This window comes from Homo sapiens, chromosome 2 (assembly GCF_000001405.40).
Source record: "Homo sapiens chromosome 2, GRCh38.p14 Primary Assembly".
NCBI classification, from domain to species: domain Eukaryota; kingdom Metazoa; phylum Chordata; class Mammalia; order Primates; family Hominidae; genus Homo; species Homo sapiens.
This window is the reverse complement of record NC_000002.12, coordinates 3,548,354-3,566,563: the sequence shown is the minus strand read 5'-3', so window position 1 is coordinate 3,566,563 and position 18,210 is coordinate 3,548,354. Positions and strand designations below refer to the sequence as shown.

The 18,210-nt window shown below is 46.2% G+C and overlaps 1 protein-coding gene and 1 long non-coding RNA gene across 16 annotated transcripts in view, besides 6 other annotated features; one reads left to right on the top strand and one right to left on the bottom strand.

The window, feature by feature from the left end:
- Positions 1,875-1,924: an enhancer, noted in NCBI's record as "active region_15233". NCBI's record gives its function as "activates an Ori minimal core promoter by ATAC-STARR-seq in GM12878 lymphoblastoid cells {active_cell/tissue: GM12878}" and the evidence as "EXISTENCE:reporter gene assay evidence [ECO:0000049][PMID:35858748]".
- Positions 1,975-2,024: an enhancer, noted in NCBI's record as "active region_15232". NCBI's record gives its function as "activates an Ori minimal core promoter by ATAC-STARR-seq in GM12878 lymphoblastoid cells {active_cell/tissue: GM12878}" and the evidence as "EXISTENCE:reporter gene assay evidence [ECO:0000049][PMID:35858748]".
- Positions 4,814-8,178, bottom strand: RNASEH1-DT (RNASEH1 divergent transcript). Of its 3 annotated transcripts, none has more exons than NR_038429.1 (3): positions 7,566-8,178; positions 6,835-7,116; positions 4,814-5,247 (listed from the first exon to the last, which is right to left on the bottom strand). It is a non-coding gene; the product is annotated as an RNASEH1 divergent transcript (long non-coding RNA). The 3 variants fall into 3 exon arrangements; NR_038430.1 differs by having other exon boundaries at positions 6,835-7,160; positions 7,566-8,177; NR_038431.1 differs by lacking the exon at positions 6,835-7,116 and having other exon boundaries at positions 7,566-8,177.
- Positions 5,568-6,465: an enhancer, noted in NCBI's record as "H3K27ac-H3K4me1 hESC enhancer chr2:3607689-3608586 (GRCh37/hg19 assembly coordinates)". NCBI's record gives its function as "activates a minimal SCP1, AML or CMV promoter by ChIP-STARR-seq in primed H9 embryonic stem cells {active_cell/tissue: H9 hESC(primed)}" and the evidence as "EXISTENCE:reporter gene assay evidence [ECO:0000049][PMID:30033119]".
- Positions 7,780-8,099: a silencer, noted in NCBI's record as "silent region_11115". NCBI's record gives its function as "represses an Ori minimal core promoter by ATAC-STARR-seq in GM12878 lymphoblastoid cells {active_cell/tissue: GM12878}" and the evidence as "EXISTENCE:reporter gene assay evidence [ECO:0000049][PMID:35858748]".
- Positions 8,130-8,379: an enhancer, noted in NCBI's record as "active region_15231". NCBI's record gives its function as "activates an Ori minimal core promoter by ATAC-STARR-seq in GM12878 lymphoblastoid cells {active_cell/tissue: GM12878}" and the evidence as "EXISTENCE:reporter gene assay evidence [ECO:0000049][PMID:35858748]".
- Positions 8,231-18,210, top strand: part of RNASEH1 (ribonuclease H1) — a 26,521-nt gene continuing 16,541 nt past the window's right edge. For 5 of the 13 annotated variants that reach the window (NR_148532.2, NR_148534.2, NM_001286834.3 and 2 more), the window contains exons 1-6: positions 8,231-8,431; positions 9,660-9,775; positions 14,256-14,420; positions 16,092-16,191; positions 17,452-17,506; positions 17,840-17,924. Coding sequence is in view for 6 of the 13 variants with exons in the window: in NM_002936.6 (NP_002927.2) it covers positions 8,304-8,431; positions 9,660-9,775; positions 14,256-14,420; positions 16,092-16,191; positions 17,452-17,506; positions 17,840-17,924 (649 nt within the window). In the remaining 7 variants the exon portion in view is untranslated. Of the gene's footprint in view, positions 8,670-8,720; positions 8,890-9,659; positions 9,776-14,255; positions 14,421-16,091; positions 16,192-17,451; positions 17,507-17,839; positions 17,925-18,210 lie in introns of all 13 variants that reach the window. The other 8 variants (NR_165467.1, NR_165468.1, NR_165466.1 and 5 more) reach the window with 8 other exon arrangements.
- Positions 8,470-8,569: a silencer, noted in NCBI's record as "silent region_11114". NCBI's record gives its function as "represses an Ori minimal core promoter by ATAC-STARR-seq in GM12878 lymphoblastoid cells {active_cell/tissue: GM12878}" and the evidence as "EXISTENCE:reporter gene assay evidence [ECO:0000049][PMID:35858748]".

Genomic DNA, 18,210 nt, shown 5'->3' with positions numbered 1-18,210 from the left:
ACTATTTTAAATTATAATCATGTAATAGGAATAATCATCATTTTCCTAATTATTCTTCGGTTTCAAAACCAAAAATTGGCAGGTCATGGTGGCTCACACCTGCACTCCCAGCACTTTGGGAGGCCTCAGGTAGATCACCTAAGGTCAGGAGTTAGAGACCAGCCTGGCCAACATGGCGAAACCCCATCTCTACTAAAAATACGAAAATGAGCTGGGCGTGGTGGCGTGTGCTTGTAATCCCAGCTACTGGGGAGGCTGAGGCAGGAGAATCACTTGAACACGGGAGGTGGAGGTTGCAGTGAGCCGAGATCGCGCCACTGCACGCCAGCCTGGGTGACGAGAGTGAAACTCCATCTCAAAAAAAAAAAACCCAACAATTACACTTTTAAAAAACAATAAATTTCTTTCCTTTTTTTTTTTTTTTTTTTCTGAGACAAGATCTCACTCTGTCACCCAGGCTGGAGTACAGTAGTGCAGTCACGGCTCACTGCAGCCTTAGCCTCCCAGGCTTAAGCAATCCTCCACCTCAGCCTCCCAAGAAGTTGGGACCACAGGCACGCTTGGCTAATTTTTAAATTTTTTTGTAGAGACAGGATCTCACTATGTTGCCCAGGCTGGTCTCAAACTCCTGGCCTCGAGTAATCCTCCTCCGTTGACCTCCCAAAGCATGAGCCAACGTACCTGGCCAAAAAAAATAAATTTCAATTGTATTTTATTTATTTATTTATTTAATATTTTTTTGAGACAGAGTCTTATTCTGTCGCCCAGGCTGGAGTGCAGTGGCCCAATCTCGGCTCCCCGGGTTCTAGCGATTCTTCTGCCTCAGCCTCCTGAGTAGCTGGGACTACACGCCCGTGCCACCACGCCCAGCTAATTTTTGTATTGTTAGCAGAGACAGGTTTTCACCATATTGGCCAGGCTGGTCTCGAAATCCCGCCTCGGCCTCCCAAAGTGCTGGGATTACAGGCGTGAGCCACCACTCCTGGCTAAATTTCAATTTTAAAGACATTATTTGAATTCAGTAAAATGTGTAATATATGAGCTAAAATCCACACTATAACAAAAATATTTCAGCTTGCGGTTCCCACCGCCCTGTTTCACTGATTCAAATTTTAAGCACAAGTGATCACATGGAATGAAGTGAAGTAAAGCAAGTTCTCCTCGTTTGTCTTTATAGTCATAGTGCTACCACGGTTCACTTCAAACCTGCTGTTTACATGCAGGAGGTTGCAGTGCCCATCAGCTGGATCAAACTGTGCCTGAAGCTAGCACTCTGCTTCTGAACCAAATAAACTTCTTGTGGCTGAACGAAGACGTGTTGGAACCAAGTGCATAGCTGGGAGCCCTTGGGATTAACTCCCATGTAAGACATGTTTGTTAAAAGATTAGGGATAAAAATGGAATTATACACATATAATTACAAGAAAGTTTTTTTTCTGGGAAGAGTATTTATCACTGACAGTGTTTAGAATTCCCGGTGCTCAGTTATAATAACAGAGCACCCTGACTTTCAGTCGGCTTGATCAGTCTTTTTTTTTTTTTTTCGAGACGGAGTTTCACTCTCGTTGCCCAGGCTGGAGTGCAACGGCGCGATCTCGGCTCACCACAACCTCCGCCTCCCGGGTTCAAGCGATTCTCCTGCCTCAGCCTCCCGTGTAGCTGGGATTACAGGCACACGCCACCACACCTGGCTAATTTTGTATTTTTAGTAGAGATGGGGTTTCCCCATGTTGGTCAGGCTGGTCTCGAACTCCCAACCTCAGGTGAGGCTTGATCACTCTTTTAGGTTCTCTGTGGCTAAGGTGACGCCCACACCCGAATGAAGTTCCCCTTCCCCAGCCTCAGGCATCCATGGCAGGAGGTGAAGTTGTGGGGATTGTTGATAATGGATGGAATGTGAACGAGTTGCATCAGGAAATGCAGGCTGAGCACAGTGGCTCCCGCCTGTAATCCCAGCCCTTTGAGAGGTCAATACAGGAGGATTGCTTGAGGCCAGGAGTTTGATTCCAGCCTGAGCAATATAGTGAAACCTTGTCTCTACAAAGAATTTTTTTTCTTTTTTTTCAGAGACAGGGTCTCGCTCTGTTATCTAGACTGGAGTGCAGTAGTGTGATCATAGCTCCCTGTAACCTCAAAACATTTTTTTTTTTGAGACAGAGTTTCACTCTTTTTGCCCAGGCTGGAGTGCAGTGGTGTGATCTCAGCTCACTGCAAGCTACACCTCCCAGGTTCAAGCGATTCTCCTGCCTCACCCTCCCAAGTAGCTGGGATTAAAAGTGCCTGCCACCACGCCCGGCTAATTTTTTGTATTTTTAGTAGAGACGGGGGTTCACCATGTTGGCCAGGATGATCTCAATCTCTTGACCTCATGATCCACCCGCCTTGGCCTCCCAAAGTGCTGGGATTACAGGCATGAGCCGCCACACCCGGCCTCAAAACATGTTTTTTTTTTAATTATACAGGAGGCGCACACCTGTAATACCAGCTATTTTGGAGGTTGAGGTGGAAAGATGACTTGAGCCCAGGAGGTTGAGGCTGCAGTGCGCTATGATTGCGCCAATGCACTCCAGCCTCGGCGACAGAGCAAGACCCCGTCACAACAACAAAAAATGAGAAAATGGACATTTATGGCAAACTACTTCTGCCCCGAGATTTCCTGTGGGTTCTGCGTGATTGGCTCTCAGGGTGTGGGCAGCTAAGGTTCCAAAGTGTACTGTTTAATCCTAGCACAGCACAAATGGCTTGCAGGAGATAAGGCAGAATCTCATCAGCACATCAGGGTAAGCACCCAGCTATCATGGGCTAGACCCATGGAGAAGCCGTGCTCTGGGAACCCCCCTCCTCCTTCACTAGAGGCAATGAAATGAAGCAGTAGCTCCTGCTCTGACCTTACTGCTCCCAGAGTCCTTGTGGGTACTAGTTCCAGTCTCAGACTAACAGCCAGAAGATCTGCCATTGAAGTTTCAGTTCCAAAACTAATGCGATGACTTTGGGTAAGTCATAAAACCTCAAGGGTCAGTTTCTTCATCTGTTAAATAAAATCGACATCTGCCCTGCCAGCCTCACAGGGTTGTTTTAAGAAGGAGATGGAATAACAGAAATGAAGGAGGGAGGCCGGCTGCTACCACAGGGCAGGGACTATCACCCACTGTGGCCTCCAACCTGATGGTGCCTCAGAGTCAGCTGGGGCTGCCCAAACACAAACCGCCGGGCTCCACCCCCAGGGATTCCCATGCTGAGGTCCGGGTTGAGGCCCAGAATTTCCATGTCTAATGAGTGCCCAGGTGGTGCTTTTGCTGCTGATCCAAGGACCACACTTTGAAAACCATGACTTAGGTTTAGGAGGACGGGCTCTGGAGGCAGGTTTGAGTCCTGGCTGTACCACTTCCTGTCTACATGTCTGAGGACAAGTGACTTAATCTTTACATTTCAGCTTTCTCAGCTATAGACAATATAATATTGAGAGTGCAAATTAGTTCAACCATTGCGGAAAGCAGCATAGTGATTCTGCAAAGAACTTAAAACAGAACTACCATGCAACCCAGCAATCCCATGACTGGGTATATACCCAGAGGAATCTAAATCGTTCTACCATAAAGACACATGCAGGTGTATGTTCACCACAACACTATTCATGATAGCAAAGATGTGGAATCAACATAAATGCCCATCCACAGTAGACTTGACAAAGCAAATGTGGTACATTTACATCGTGGAATACCATGAAGCCATAAAAAAGGAACGAGATCATGTCCTTTGCAGCACTATGGATAGAGGTGGAGGCAAGCTAAGGCAGAAACAGAAAACCAAACACCGCGTGTTCTCACTTATAAGTGGGAGCTCCACAGCGAGAACACAGGGATATTAGGAGGGGAACGGTGGGCAACGGGGCCTACCTGAGGGTGGAGGATGGGAGGAGGGAGAAGATCCGAAAAAATACCCATCGGGTACTAGGCTTATTCCTCAGTGATGAAATTATCTGTACACCCATCCCCCATGACATGAGTTTACTCATGAAACAAACCTGCACATGGACCCTCAAACCTAAAATAAAAGTTAACAAAAAATTTTCCTGACCAACCTCTTCAGGAAGAGGGGCAATCCTCGTGTCACAAGCAATGCCAATAAAGAACAGGAACGCCACCTTTTTCAACTCCTGAGAGATGAATCCAACGTCTGACCCTGCATTGCATGCACTCTCGCCCACGTCGGCTCTCATCCCCACACTCCTCGTTCCTGTCACCGGCCTATGCTGTAAACACCCTAGCAGTCACAATCAGTCACTTATCTGTCTTATGGGTCTATTATTTCATTCTCTGTCCTGCAACCGAAGCTCTGCGTTGTCTTACCCATGTTTAGAACAGCTCCGTTCAATGATGAGAGTCACACAAGCCATCTAAACTTTTCTGGTGGTCACATTAGAAAAGTAAAACAGCAAGAAATAGTTTTATTATTATTATTAAGATGGAGTCTCACTCTGTCACCCAGGCTGGAGTGCAGTGGGACAATCTCGGCTCACTGTAACCTACACCTCCCGGGTTCAAACGATTCTCCTGCCTCAGCCTCCCAAGTAGTTGGGATTACAGGCACTCACCACCACACCCGGCTGATTTTTGTATTTTTAGTAGAAATGGGGTTTCACCATGTTGGCCAGGCTCATCTCGAACTCCAGACCTCAGGTGATCCACCCGCCTCAGCCTCCCAAAGTGCTGGGGTTACAGGCATGAGCCACTGTGCCTAGCCACTAATTTTAAATGTATTTCTTTAACCCAATATATTCAAAATATTATCAGTTCAACCTGTAATCAATATACAAAATTAACAATGTGTTTTAATTTTTTTGGCAGTAATGAATGCCATGTTGGCTTTTATTATTTTTTTTTTCTAATTTTAAGTTCCAGGATACAAGTGCAGAACATGTAGGTGCTATATAGATAAACATGTGTCATGGTGGTTTGCTGCACCCATCAACCTGTTGTCTAGGTTTTAAGCCCTGCGTGCATTAGCTATTTGTCCTACTGCTCTGCCTCCCCTCGACCCCCACCCCTCTTAAAATTCTTTTTATTTTTCACACTGAGTCTTCAAAGTCCGGTGTGTATCATACAGCACATCTCAATAGCCACATGCAGGCAGGGCGCGGTGGCTCACGCCTCTAATCCCAACACTTTGGGAGGTCGAGGTGGGCATTGGACGATGCAGGTCTGGACAAGTGCCTGGTATATTGTGGGCACAATTCTTGAATGGACCCTGAGAAATAAGCAGAAATGGTTTTGTTATTCCTAATTTACAGAGTATAATAGATAATGGCAATAGTGACTTTTATTTGAGTTTATGTCATGTGTCAGGAATAGGCTATGCATACATTTATTATTTCATCTAAAATCTCATCCTCAAAACAAAAGCCTTTTGCAGTGGGAATTATCACTCCCATTTTTTTTTTTCAGTAGAGAAAATTAAGTTTCAAAGGAGCTAAGTGACTGAGACCACATATACACTCATCTTCTGATTTCTGATCCAGTGTTTGCTCAGGATAAGAAATGTCCTATATTTCTATGAGCCAGAGATTAAGATAAAAAAAGATTTTCAGGAGTAACCAGTCAATGAAAAGTCAAAATAAATAGTTTTGGCAGCCGGGCGTGGTGGCTCATGCCTGTAATTCCAACACTTTGGGAGGCCGAGGTGGGCAAATCACTTGAGGTCAGGAGTTCAAGACCAGCCTCACCAACATGGTGAAAACTTGTCTCTAAAAATACAAAAATCAGCTGGGCGTGGTGGCGCATGCCTGTAATCCCAGCTACTCGGGAGGCTGAGGCAGGAGAATCGCTTGAACCCAGGAGGCAGAGGTTGCAGTGAGCCAAGATCATGCCACTGCACTCTAGCCTGGGCGTTGGAGTAGGACCCGGAAAAAAAAGAAAAGAAAATAAAGAAAGAAGAAAAGGAAAGAAAAGAAAGAAACAAGAAAAGAAAGAAAGAAAGGAGAAAGAAAAGAGAACAAAGGAAGAAAAGACGAAAGAAGGAAAGAAGAAGGAAGGAAGGAAGGAAGGAAGGAAGGAAGGAAGGAAGGAAGGAAGAAGGAAGAGAGAGGGTTTTGGCACTGTGGAAAGTCATGTGGATGATCCTGCAAGCGTCCTCAGGTAATTCCAACCTAGGACTTCTCAGGGAAGATGAGTCCTTGTGATACAGGACCAGCCAGTGGGCACAGAAAAGCAAGCCCTTGGTAGGTCAACCCTCAGATATGCTGACGAGGTGGGGGCAGCTGTCAGGTCATCCTGAGAGCCTTCCCGGGCATCTCTGGGCTTCCTCAGATATCTACACAAGGGTAGGATGATCAGTCATAAATGGACTTTAGGGACAGCTGTGTGTGTCTTTTTATTTTAAAATAAGAATCCGTCTTGAAGTGCAATAGGTAGGAATGAGGAATGAAAGCTATGGCCAATTTAAATTAAAATTAGGAAAGCTGAAATGTTTAAAATTGATGTTCTTTGGCCAGGCACAGTGGCTAATGCCTGTAATCCTAGCACTTTGGGAGGCTGAGGCAGGCGGATCACTTGAGGTCAGGAGTTCGCAACCAGCCGGGCCAACATGGTGAAACTCTGTTTCTACTAAAAATACATAAAAATTAGCCAGGCGTGATGGCGGGCGCCTGTAATCCCAGCTACTTGGGAGGCTGAGGCAGGAGAAATGCTTGAACCCGGGAGGTGGAGGTTGCAGTGAGCCCCAATCGTGCATCGTGCCACTGCACTCCAGCCTGGGCGACACAGCAAGACTCTGTTTAAAAAAAAAAAAAAAAAAAAAAAAAGATGTTCTTCGATTTCACAGAGGAACACAACTTACCACGCCAATGTACGCGTCGCTTTTGCCTGGGCCGTTCCTTCTTCCTAGAATGTCCTGCTTCTTTCTCTTTGTCTAACTCATGTGAATGAACTTTTTAAAAAATTAGTATCCTTCAAAACTGTATTTGCTCAGGCGTTCTGATGTGAGGCCCTCCTGACTCTCCAGGTGCGGGTGCTTCTCTGCTCTGTGTCTCTCACCTCCAACAGCTTGTTCTGCCTGCGCACTATTTGCTGATGTGTTATCTCCGGGGATTCTCGAATTTCTCACCTTCATCCCCAAGGCCTGACAAAATACATGGCAGGTGTGCAAAAGGCTTGTTAGAAGACCTTAAGAAAATTAAAGAAAAGTGGTTTAAAAATAATTCGAATAACAATGTTTGCCAATGGAGACTTTTTTTTTTTTTTTGAGACGGAATCACGCTCTGTCGCCCAGATGCAACCTCCACCTCTCGAGTTCGAGCGCCTCTCCTGCTTCAGCCTCCTGAGTAGCTGGGATTACAGGCGCAGGCGACCACGCCCGGCTAATTTTTGTATTTTTAGTAGAGACAGGGTTTCATCATATTGGCCAGGATGGTCTCGATCTCCTGACCTGGTGATCCACCCGCCTTGGCCTCCCAAAGTGCTGAGATTACAGGCGTAAGCCACCACGCCCCTCCAACCCATGAACACTTTTAAAATTACTTGATTTGCTTACAGAGCAAAAGGTCAAATGGGGAGAATTCTAAAAGTTACCTTCTCAACTCAGTTTTCTCCCGGGTCGTGGTGCTTGAGGCACTGGATATCCCCTGGTTAAACACCCACGTGCAGTGGAGCAGGGAGGGGACGCGCCCCTTCGGGGGTGGGCGCCCAAGGCAAGGGGAGGAATGCGGCTTCCACGGCCTCCCCTCTCGCCCTCCTTTGTGCTTATTCTAATTCATGAATTCTAACATCTTTCTGCCCACTAAAAAATGTGCATTCATTCATCTGGCCACAGCCCTTACTGTAGATCCGCATCCCTGGAGCTCTCGAGGAGCCGCGGTTACCGCACGTGGGTGCCGGGCGCCAGGGGGTTCAAGGGCTTCCCGCGGTGACCCGAGCACGCCGGGGCGTGGCCCCCGAACTGCGGCCTGGGGGCGGGGAGAGAAGGGGCCCAACATGGTCCATCTCGACCTTCCTCTGCCGGGCCCAGGGCTTCAGCCCCGCTCCCATAGGCCCCGCCCCATCCCAGACCTCGCCCGCCTTCGGGATCTCAGCCCTGGCTCCGCTTCTTCAAGTACCGACAGGAAGTTGACGAGTTCGGGCTCGTCAGGGGCCGAGCTCCGGGCTCCGCCCTACGACACCGCCCCTCCCTAGGCCCCGGCCCTCATCAGGACTCCGCCCAGACGTGCGTCATCTTCCCGCGCCGGTGACGGAAGTGCGGTGTTGAGCGCCGGCGGCTCGCGCCCACGCTGGGCCGGGAGTCGAAATGCTTCCCGGTGCCGGGAGTGAGCGATGAGCTGGCTTCTGTTCCTGGCCCACAGAGTCGCCTTGGCCGCCTTGCCCTGCCGCCGCGGCTCTCGCGGGTTCGGGATGTTCTATGCCGTGAGGAGGGGCCGCAAGACCGGGGTCTTTCTGACCTGGTGAGTGGCCCGCCCGCCGAGGCGCCTCCCTGCCGGCATCGGGGTCGAGGGAGGCCGGAGCCCGGCTAACCCCGGCGGCGGGAGCCTGGCGGTCCGAGTCTGTGCCGCGCGCTGTGGCTGTGGGTGGTCGGGGGACCGCCTCGTTTTCCTGCTCGGCCGGCGGGGTTCCAGGAGGCTCATGGCCTGGGACTGGAACGCACCGAAGACTTGTTTGAAATATCAGAAACGTCGCGTAAAGGTTAGGGGTGGCCTAATAAACCCTGTGTTTAATCCTCCATCTTTGTTGCAGTTAAAGTGCAACAAAAAGTGACACGTAATCAGAACGAACCCCCGTTACCAGAAGACTTTCCGTACCAGCTAAATTGGGATTGGAACTCAGTACCTAATCTTCCCTTTTAAAAAAGGCAAATTCTAATAAGCCAGTATTTGCAGTTGGATCCTTGTAACAACCCTTGGAGGTGAGAGGGATTATTCTCACTTTCAGGTATAGTTCTTGGGGTCAGGAAGTTCCCAGGGCATGTAACTGACAGAGAAAGGACTTGAGCCCAGCTGTTCTGACTGTACCACCAGAACTCTTCCCACTACAAGATACCAAAGTTCGTTACCTGTGTTTCCCCATGCACGGCAGCTACAGTATTGAGGAAGAAGCATCTCAGAAGTTGACCTTTTTGTTGTAAAGAAATGGTTAATATTTTTTTCAAAGACCGCAGTATTTTGTTATGCTTTGAGTTTGACGAAAGCCTTATGGTGCTGGTGTGCTGGCTGGCTGGCATACAGTAGAACACAGGTGTAGAGTCTGACGTGCAGGATAAAACTATAAGGTGCGACTCTGCCCTTTTCACGCAAAAATTGGTCCTCTATATCCAGTTTGCATCCTCAGTTTCAGCTAACCATAGATCAAAAATATTTGGAAAAAATTAAAATAGAATACAGTTTTAAAATACGCATAAAAAGACAATACAACTATATAGATTGTATTAGGTATTATAAACTAGAGATGATTTAAAGCATGCAAGAAGATGTGTGTGGGTTATTTGCAAATACACCATTTTATGCAAAGGACTTAAGCATCCTCTGATGTTGGTATCTGTGATGGGGTGGAGGACTTCCTGGAATCAGTCTCCCTCAGATACCAAGGGACAACTGTATTTCCAACCTTAAGAATCTCAATAAAAAAGGGGATAAGTTAGAGAAGGAAGAAGGAAATAACATTGCACATCTTTTCCAGGAATGAGTGCAGAGCACAGGTGGACCGGTTTCCTGCTGCCAGATTTAAGAAGTTTGCCACAGAGGATGAGGCCTGGGCCTTTGTCAGGAAATCTGCAAGCCCGGAAGTTTCAGAAGGTAGTCACCTCTCATATCAGTGTGACATTTTAACCTATTCAAAGGCTTTCATATGCCAGATGGCATTTGATCTATATAGCTACCCTCTAGGCATGTAGGGAACCTCGTGTGATTGTTTTCATTTTACAAATTAGGGAACAGACTGAAAGCAGTTACAAATAGTGGTTCATATTACTTACAGTATTAGGGATAAGCCAGGACTCAGCTCTCCTGTTCCATTCAGCCTTTTATGCCATAATTCCTTGTCTTTTTTTAAAAAAATACTTGTCCAGCCTGGCCAACATGATGAAACTCCATCTCTACTAAAATACAAAAATTAGCTGGGCATGGTGGCGCACACCTGTAATCCCAGCTACTCGGGAGGCTGAGGTGGGAGAATTGCTTGAGCCCGAGAAGTGGAGGCTACAGTGAGCCGAGATTGCACCACTGCACTCCAGCCTGGGTGACAGGGCAAGACTCGTCAAAAAAAAAAAAAAAAAACTTACATAGTTATTGGACTGGATGGGCTACAGTTTACAGGAATGAGTGTGGTTCTTTCCATGGCATGCCCCTTTGTGGTGTTGCCTTTTTATTGAGAACAGAGTCACACAATCTGAATTTCTTCTTTTTTTTTTTCCTTGAGACAGAGTCTCTGTTGCGCAGGCTGGAGTGCAGTGGCACAATCTTGGCTCACTGCAGTCTCTGCCTCCTGCGTTCAAGCGATTCTCCTGCTTCAGCTTCCGGAGTAGCTGGGATTACAGGTGCGTGCCACCACGCCCGGCTAATTTTTGTATTTTTTTTAGTAGAGATGGGATTTCACCATATTGGCCAGGCTGGTCTTAAACACCTGACCTCAAATGATTCACCTGCTTTGGCCTCCCAAAGTGTTAGGATTCCAGGCATGAGCCACCACGCCTGTCCAATTTCTTCCAATTTTATGTGTTATAGAAAGTACGGTTATTCAAAGTTTAAAGCCCAATATAAGATTAATTCCCAATATAATTGGAAGTTTAAAGCCCATTATGCAGACTCAGATGAGCAGGGTGACGACTTTAGAGCGCAAGATTTTAAAAATATTTCTGGATCTACACTGAGGAGGTGATCTTACGTGAATGTTACTTACAAACTTTTTACTATAGCAAATTAAGACTGAGCAGAGCATAGTTTTAATTACCTTATCTTGAACAGCCTCTCTAGAGGCCACTGAGATGCTTGAACCTGAACAACTGCTCCTTCGAATCATCGTAACAATCCTGGACAAAGCACAATTCAGAGCGAGGCAGGTTGTGTCCAGAATGGATCCCTGAAGAGTTAGTTTGCAAAGCAGGGTCGACCCTCACTCAGTGCATCTGCTTCACCCTCTCTCTCTTCAATAGCTTTTAAAGGAGATTCTGTTTGAGAATGAGGACACGTGAAAAAGGCTCATCGATGTGACAGTTCTTACTGCTTACTGCATGACAGCCAATAAGCTGAGAGACAAGGTGTTGGGGCAAGGAAGGCGACTTTTTTCCGAGAGCCAGCAAGTCAAGAAGATGGTGGACTAGTGTCCTGAAGAACCATCTTAAGTTAATAGAACTTGAGACTTCTTTTATGTTAAGGGAAGGGGAAAGAAAGGCGGAGGTGAGATCAGGAGGAGACCGATGAGCACAGACATCTGGATGGCAGCGAGGGTCCAAGGGGATTGTGAAACTTCTCTGTCCTTGGTCAGGCCATGATGCTCCTCCTATAAGTCTTCAACATAACATTGTTATTTGTGTGTACTCCCTCTTTATCTCCTTGGGGGTTAGTTTTGGGAACGGACCACTGTCATCCTTGCTTTAAACTATAAATTCTTCCCATAGTTCACTCGGCCTATACGATACCACTATGGGGATGTTAAGGGAGAATGGAGGCAGTAATGCTGAGCCGCCTCCTCGCTGTTACAGCTGTTCATTTTTCTACCCAGATGGAAAAATCAGTTTGAGACAGAAAGCAGGTTTGAAAATATGGCTTTTTCCTTCTTTGCTGGGTTCCTGATACTTCCTTTTCTTAATTTTCCTTTTCAGTTTTCCTTTTCACAAATTTTTTGTTTTTAACCAATCAGTAATTTATTTGTATCTCAAGTCTTCCAATATAAGTATGTTTCTGTTTTTATTAAGTACTCTGACTCTTAAAGCAAGCTAGTTCTTTTGAATCTACTTCTTTAAACTTTAGAGACCTCCTAGTCAGTGACTTACGTCTATAAATTGAGATTTAGTGCCTTTAATGATTCAGATCTGTATCAAAAAGTCTTAGCCCCTTTTACAGTTTTTTGTTTTTTAACATTACATTTATCCTTATTTTAGAATTATTGAGCTATTTACTGGTTCTTATGGTTTATATAAGCTGATTTAAGGTTAATTTACTTAAAAACCACAATTTTGTGAAGTAAAACTTAACTGACAAGTGTGTTTTTTTCCTCCAAGTCTTATCTGTTCTGTAAAGTGTCCATCTCTGTTATAGTAAGTAAAACCAGTGTTTATATCCGTGTTAAGGTTCTACAAAATGACACTTTAACCTGGACCACAGTATCTGCATTTACTTCAGTAGAGTACCTAGAGGAACGTTTTGGAGATGAGTGTGTGAAAACAAAATGTGGCAGTGGAAACGCCAGCTGTTGCTGACGTCGTGCTGATCACAGTCAAGTGTTGCCCGGCGCCCTTAGGGTTCCGAGAGGTGTGGGTTGAGAAGCTCCACTAGGCTGGACATTTTCTTGTTCCTTTCTAGTAGGCGTTCTGTGATGTTCGTGCCCCATTTCTCCATCCCTGGTTTAGGAGTTGAGAGCTGGAGGTGAATCCTGTAGTGTTGGGTTAGGGTTGTTAGTTTGCAGGTAGTTGGTTGCTCCTGTGTCCTTATTTTCACTCCATGTAAGGAAAAGTCGTTTGAGATCATCTAGCCCAGGGCCTCGTTTTACAGAAGCCCAGAGGGTTTAATTCAGTTGACGGAGTTCGCAGCTGATAAAAGGTATAGCACAAATTGAAACTGGTTTTTTGAGTCCTGGTCTAATTTAGCTGTTCTACTTCAGCTGCCATAGTATTACCCAGTGAGTGAGATATGGGCCCTTCCCAGATAACCCTGAGGTGGTATTAAGAATCTCTTTGGGGCCGGGCGCAGCGGCTCACGCCTGTAATCCCAGCACTGTGGGAGGTCAGGGCAGTGGATCACAAGGTCAGGAGTTCAAGACCAGCCTGGCCAAAATGGTGAAACCCCCATCTCTACTAAAAATACAAAAAAATTAGCTGGGTGTGGTGGTGGGTGCCTGTAATCCCAGCTACTTGGGAGGCTGTGGCAGAGAACTGCTTGAACCAGGGAGGTGGAAGTTGCAGTGAGCCACGATCGCGCCACTGTACTCCAGCTTGGGCACAGAGCAAGACTCTGTCTCAAAAAAAAAAAACTATTTGGGATTAACCTTGAGGTCCCCCTGAAGAAAAACTTCGTTGCAGAAGAAAAACTTTGTTGCAAAAGAAAAGCTGCAAGAGTACTGACCCTGAAGGGACCCAGTTGCTTCCTTTTAGTTTCTGGTTTCTGTTTCCTTTTTTTTTTTGAGACAGAGTCTCACTCTCTCGCCCAGGCTGGAGTGCAGTGGCGCGATCTCCGCTCACTGTAAGCTCCACCTCCTGGGTTCACACCATTCTCCTGCCTCAGCCTCCTGAGTAGCTGGGATTACAGGTGCCCGCCATCACGCCTGGCTAATTTTTGTATTTTTAGTAGAGACAGGGTTTCACCATGTTGACCAGGCTGGTCTTGAACTCCTGAGCTCAAATGATCTGCCCGCCTCGGCTTCCCAGCCCTGTTTTCCTTTCTTAATATGTCCCATTATCTGTTTATTCAAGCTAGATGAACCTGCACCCTCTGAGCCCTCCTAGGGGTTCTTAACTTCGTGTCCATGTAGTTGTATTTGAGGCAGGGAGAGGCTGAACCATGGACACAACTCATCTTTTTTTAGATTTATCTATTTTTAAGCAAAGGGGTCTCACTATGTTGGCCGGGTTGGATTCAAACCCGGGCTCAAGCGATACTCGTATGTCAGCCTCCCGAGTAGCTGGAACTATAGGCACACACCACTGCGCCCAGCAACACCACTGATGTTATATACACAATTTTGGGCCATGTTTTTCCTGGAGAAAGAGCCCCTTGAGATGCTGTGGAGGGGATTGAGATGCTGTGGAGGGGGTGGAGGTGGTGTGGAGGGGAGGGGGTGGTGGTGGTGTGGAGGGGAGGGGGTGGTGGTGGTGTGGAGGGGAGGGGGTGGAGGTGGTGTGGAGGGGGTGGAGGTGGTGTGGAGGGGGTGGAGATGGCGTGGAGGGGGTGGAGATGGCGTGGAGGGGGTCATTCCCTCGTTTCCCTCGTTGTAGGGCCACATAGAGAGGGTGTTTTTAAGTCTGATTTAATGATACTAAATAATTTACTGAATGTCTTCATTCTCTAGCATTTCGTGTTATGTTCATTGTTTCCAGCTCACGAGTGGACTCTTGTCTTTCAGGGCATGAAAATCAACATGGACAAGAATCGGAGGCGAAAGCCAGCAAGCGACTCCGTGAGCCACTGGATGGAGATGGACATGAAAGCGCAGAGCCGTATGCAAAGCACATGAAGCCGAGCGTGGAGCCGGCGCCTCCAGTTAGCAGAGACACGTTTTCCTACATGGGTACATCTTCCTTGGGTTTTCAGATTTTAATACCACAGTCAGGAAAATGTTATGTGTAAAAGGTGTTTCCCACTTGATGGGGGGAGTTTGAGCTGGTGTTTATCATCTTCATTCTTATGTGTAAAGATTATTTAGAAATCACTAAGGCCATTATTTATAATCAAGTAGTGCAGAATTAAACTTTTGGATGTTCTTAGGAAAACCCTTACATGTAAATGAACAACTGTAATCTTTTGAAATACTAGTATTCCCTGTGCATGCAGTACTTAACGTTAAGATGAAATGCGAAGACTCCAGCTTTTTCAAATAACACCTCACACGCAGCTGCTTGTTATAATTGATTAGCACCAGCATTTTAACCTTTCATATTCAATCTTTGGAAAACAAGAGATTCTATTTTATCCTGAGAAGCAAGGTAGTAGTGAACTTTTCTGCTACCTTTCACTCCAGGAATCAGTTATGTATTTAGTGACTCACAGAATAGAATTCTCCTTTGTGTCTTTTACACATATGAGCAGAAAGTAGAAATAAGCATTAAAAAATATAAATCAGTATATTTATAGGTTCTAATTTAATTCAAGGGAAACCAGTAGAAAATGTTTTGCCAAGCTGTATTATTTATAGATATGTTTTGCAGTTACGTAAAAAAAGATCAAACAAGTATTCTTTATTTGGTGATTTACTAGTAGGAATTGAAGCAAAGATTTGTGGAGTTGCAGGGAGATGAGCCGTTTCCAGACACTGACCATTGCTGGAGGCTTGGTGGCCTGGAACATGGCGGATAGCAGGTGCTGGCTCCTGAGACAGTTCAGTGGCTGGGTGGGAAGCTTGTAGTCATGCTGATACAGTTAAGTTCCAGCTGAACGGAGGAGCCCTGCCCAACACCCACACTCCCCTTGGCTCTCAGCCCCGCTCCTGTGAGGAGCACATCCCCATCTTTGCCCCTTCGCCACTGCTGAGCTCAGTCTGCCGTCCTTCGGACAAGTACTTCCACTTCCTGCGCGTACCACCTCTATTTGCCCTCTCGCCCAGCTCTTTTAACACTGTGCAACCTGACCTCTGATCCCACCACACTACTGAAGTGTCCTGGTCACCAGTGGCCTGAGAATGCCCCCGTCAGTCCTTTTTTACCTTGTTCTTTACAGCCTTTGTGTGTCAATCATACCCTCTATCTAGAGGGAAAGAAGCAAAGACGGGAACCACACTTAACTAGCAGCAAATATGCCAGGGAAGAAATTAGACCAGCACTGGTCAGGAGACTGGGCCCTCTGGCAGGCAGGGTCACCGTCATGCTGAGGCGCTGCTCGTCTCTGGAGGATGGCTCCCTGGGAGTGAAGGTGACCCTGCCGTGGAGACAGCGCCATTGTCCTCTGAACCCACAGTGTGGGATGTGAACAGTAGTTTTTACTGCAGCAGGCTCTAGTTTTACAAGGTGATTGCCTTCACCCCGAACTTGCCTGGCCTGCAAGATCAAAATGTAAGTGGATTCCAAGCATAAATGTTAGGTGCCCCCTTGTAAGGAATGGAGCATGTTTTCCTAGAGAGAAAACGTCTGCAGCGTTGTAAAATACCCTCTCGGTTTAAAATGCTAAGTCGACCTAGTGGATTTTTGAGGTGAATTTCAGTTTTTAGTAAGGTCAGCCCAGCAGCATGTACTTCCTTTTCCCACAGGAGACTTCGTCGTCGTCTACACTGATGGCTGCTGCTCCAGTAATGGGCGTAGAAGGCCGCGAGCAGGAATCGGCGTTTACTGGGGGCCAGGCCATCCTTTGTAAGTTAAACGAAGCTGAGTTTTACTGAATCATGTTCCACAACTTGTGAAAAGATGAGGCGGGATCTGCTCATTGTTTGATTATTGGGAAAACCTGCAGATAAGTAGCTCTGGCAGGGGTGGCAGAGGAGCAGCTTTGGTTCGTGTTGGGGCTAAGCGGCATTGCTTTTCAGAACGTGAGGTACCTCAGCTTTACTTCCTTTGCTTTTTTTTTTTTTTTTTTTTTTTTTAAGACACGGTCTCACACTGTTGCCCAGGATGGAGTACAGTGGCACAAACACAGCTCACTGCAGACTTCACCTTCTGGGCTCAAGCGATCCTCCCACCTTGGCCTCCCAAACTGTTGGGATTATGGGTGTGAGCCACTGCACCTGGCTTTGGTGTTTCTTTCTTGCCCTGGGGAGGAGTCTTTTTTTTTTTTTTTCCTGAGACGGAGTCTCACTCTATCGCCCAGGCTAGAGTGCAGTGGCGCGATCTCGGCTCACTGCAAGCTCCACTTCCCAGGTTCACGCCATTCTCCTTCCTCACCCTCCCGAGTAGCTGGGACTACAGGCACCTGCCACCAGGCCCAGCTAATTTTTTGTATTTTTAGTAGAGACGGGGTTTCACCGTGTTAGCCAGGATGGTCTCGATCTTCTGACCTCGTGATCCGCCCACCTCGGCCTCCCAAGAGGAGTCCTTTTTTCAGTAGAGATGAAGTCTCACTATGTTGCCCAGGCTGGGCTCAAATTTCTGGGCTCATGCGATCCTCCCACCTTGTCCTCCCAAAGTGCCGAGATCACAGGTGTGAGCCACCACCCCTGGCCCAAAAATTGCTCATTCTTTTAGGAAACTCTGGATCTCCTGGTGACCCCAAATTTTAAATAACTTGTCTAAGGGTTTTTCTGGTTCCTTGATTTCATTTTCCTCTTTTACTTCCTGGAGGTTTTTAGTAGTTTCAATCTGAAGTCTCACTCTCTCCATTCTTCTTCCCGAGTTTTCTCCTGGGATTCTTTCTGCTGCAGCCATAGGGCCTAACCCAGGGTCCGCAGAGAACCAGCTTTTACTTCCTTTGCCCTAGTGGAACCCATGAGAGTCAGAAGGTGCCCAAGTGTGGAAACCTGTGTGCTGCTCTCTGCTGGGAGTCTGTTAGTTTGATTTTTATATGATGCTTTTATATTTCAAATAAGAATACACACTAGTTTATCGTTATCCATTAAGAAGAATCACTTTGAGAATTCACTTTATACTTTTATTTTCTTTTGTACTGTTTTGAAACAGAAATGTAGGCATTAGACTTCCTGGGCGGCAGACAAACCAAAGAGCGGAAATTCATGTAAGTTATCAGATACGTTTAAGCCTCTCTTTTTTGAGCATTGAGTATGAAATTATCAAATAAACTAATTCTTTTTTTTTCTACCTATACATATAAGATATTTGAAGAGAGACGGGTTTAATAACAATTTTGAAAAATAGGAATTTTGTAGAAAAATTCTAAAAACTTATTTCAAATAGATGTCTACACAGGAGAATTGTATGTATAGTAGTGTTTCATACAGAGAATATAATCAGTACAGAGGGGATGTTTCAATTTCGAAGTACTTTTGAACTTTAGTAATGTCAGAGTTGAACATTTTCTGTAGCATGACTATCGACTTGTCTTTTCAAGGCAGCCTGCAAAGCCATTGAACAAGCAAAGACTCAAAACATCAATAAACTGGTTCTGTATACAGACAGTATGTTTACGATAAATGGTAAGCTTTCACATTTGATTTCTTCTGTTTTTCCAGTAACTGTGAAGGGAAATTGGTAGGAGGTGTTGTAACAGGGCAGGACCCAAATGGGAACGGGGGGATGACATTGGTTTGTCAGGTACCGAGCAAAGAGTGAGGATTTTGGAGTCTCCCTTCTGCTGCTCTGATGTTTTCCACATGCTTATTTCTTTGCCAGGCACTGGAGATGCAGTCAGAAGTGGAAGTGGCTCTTACTTCTAGTCTGTGTGTGTATAAGTCACTTAAGATGGCGTGTTGACTGCTTCTT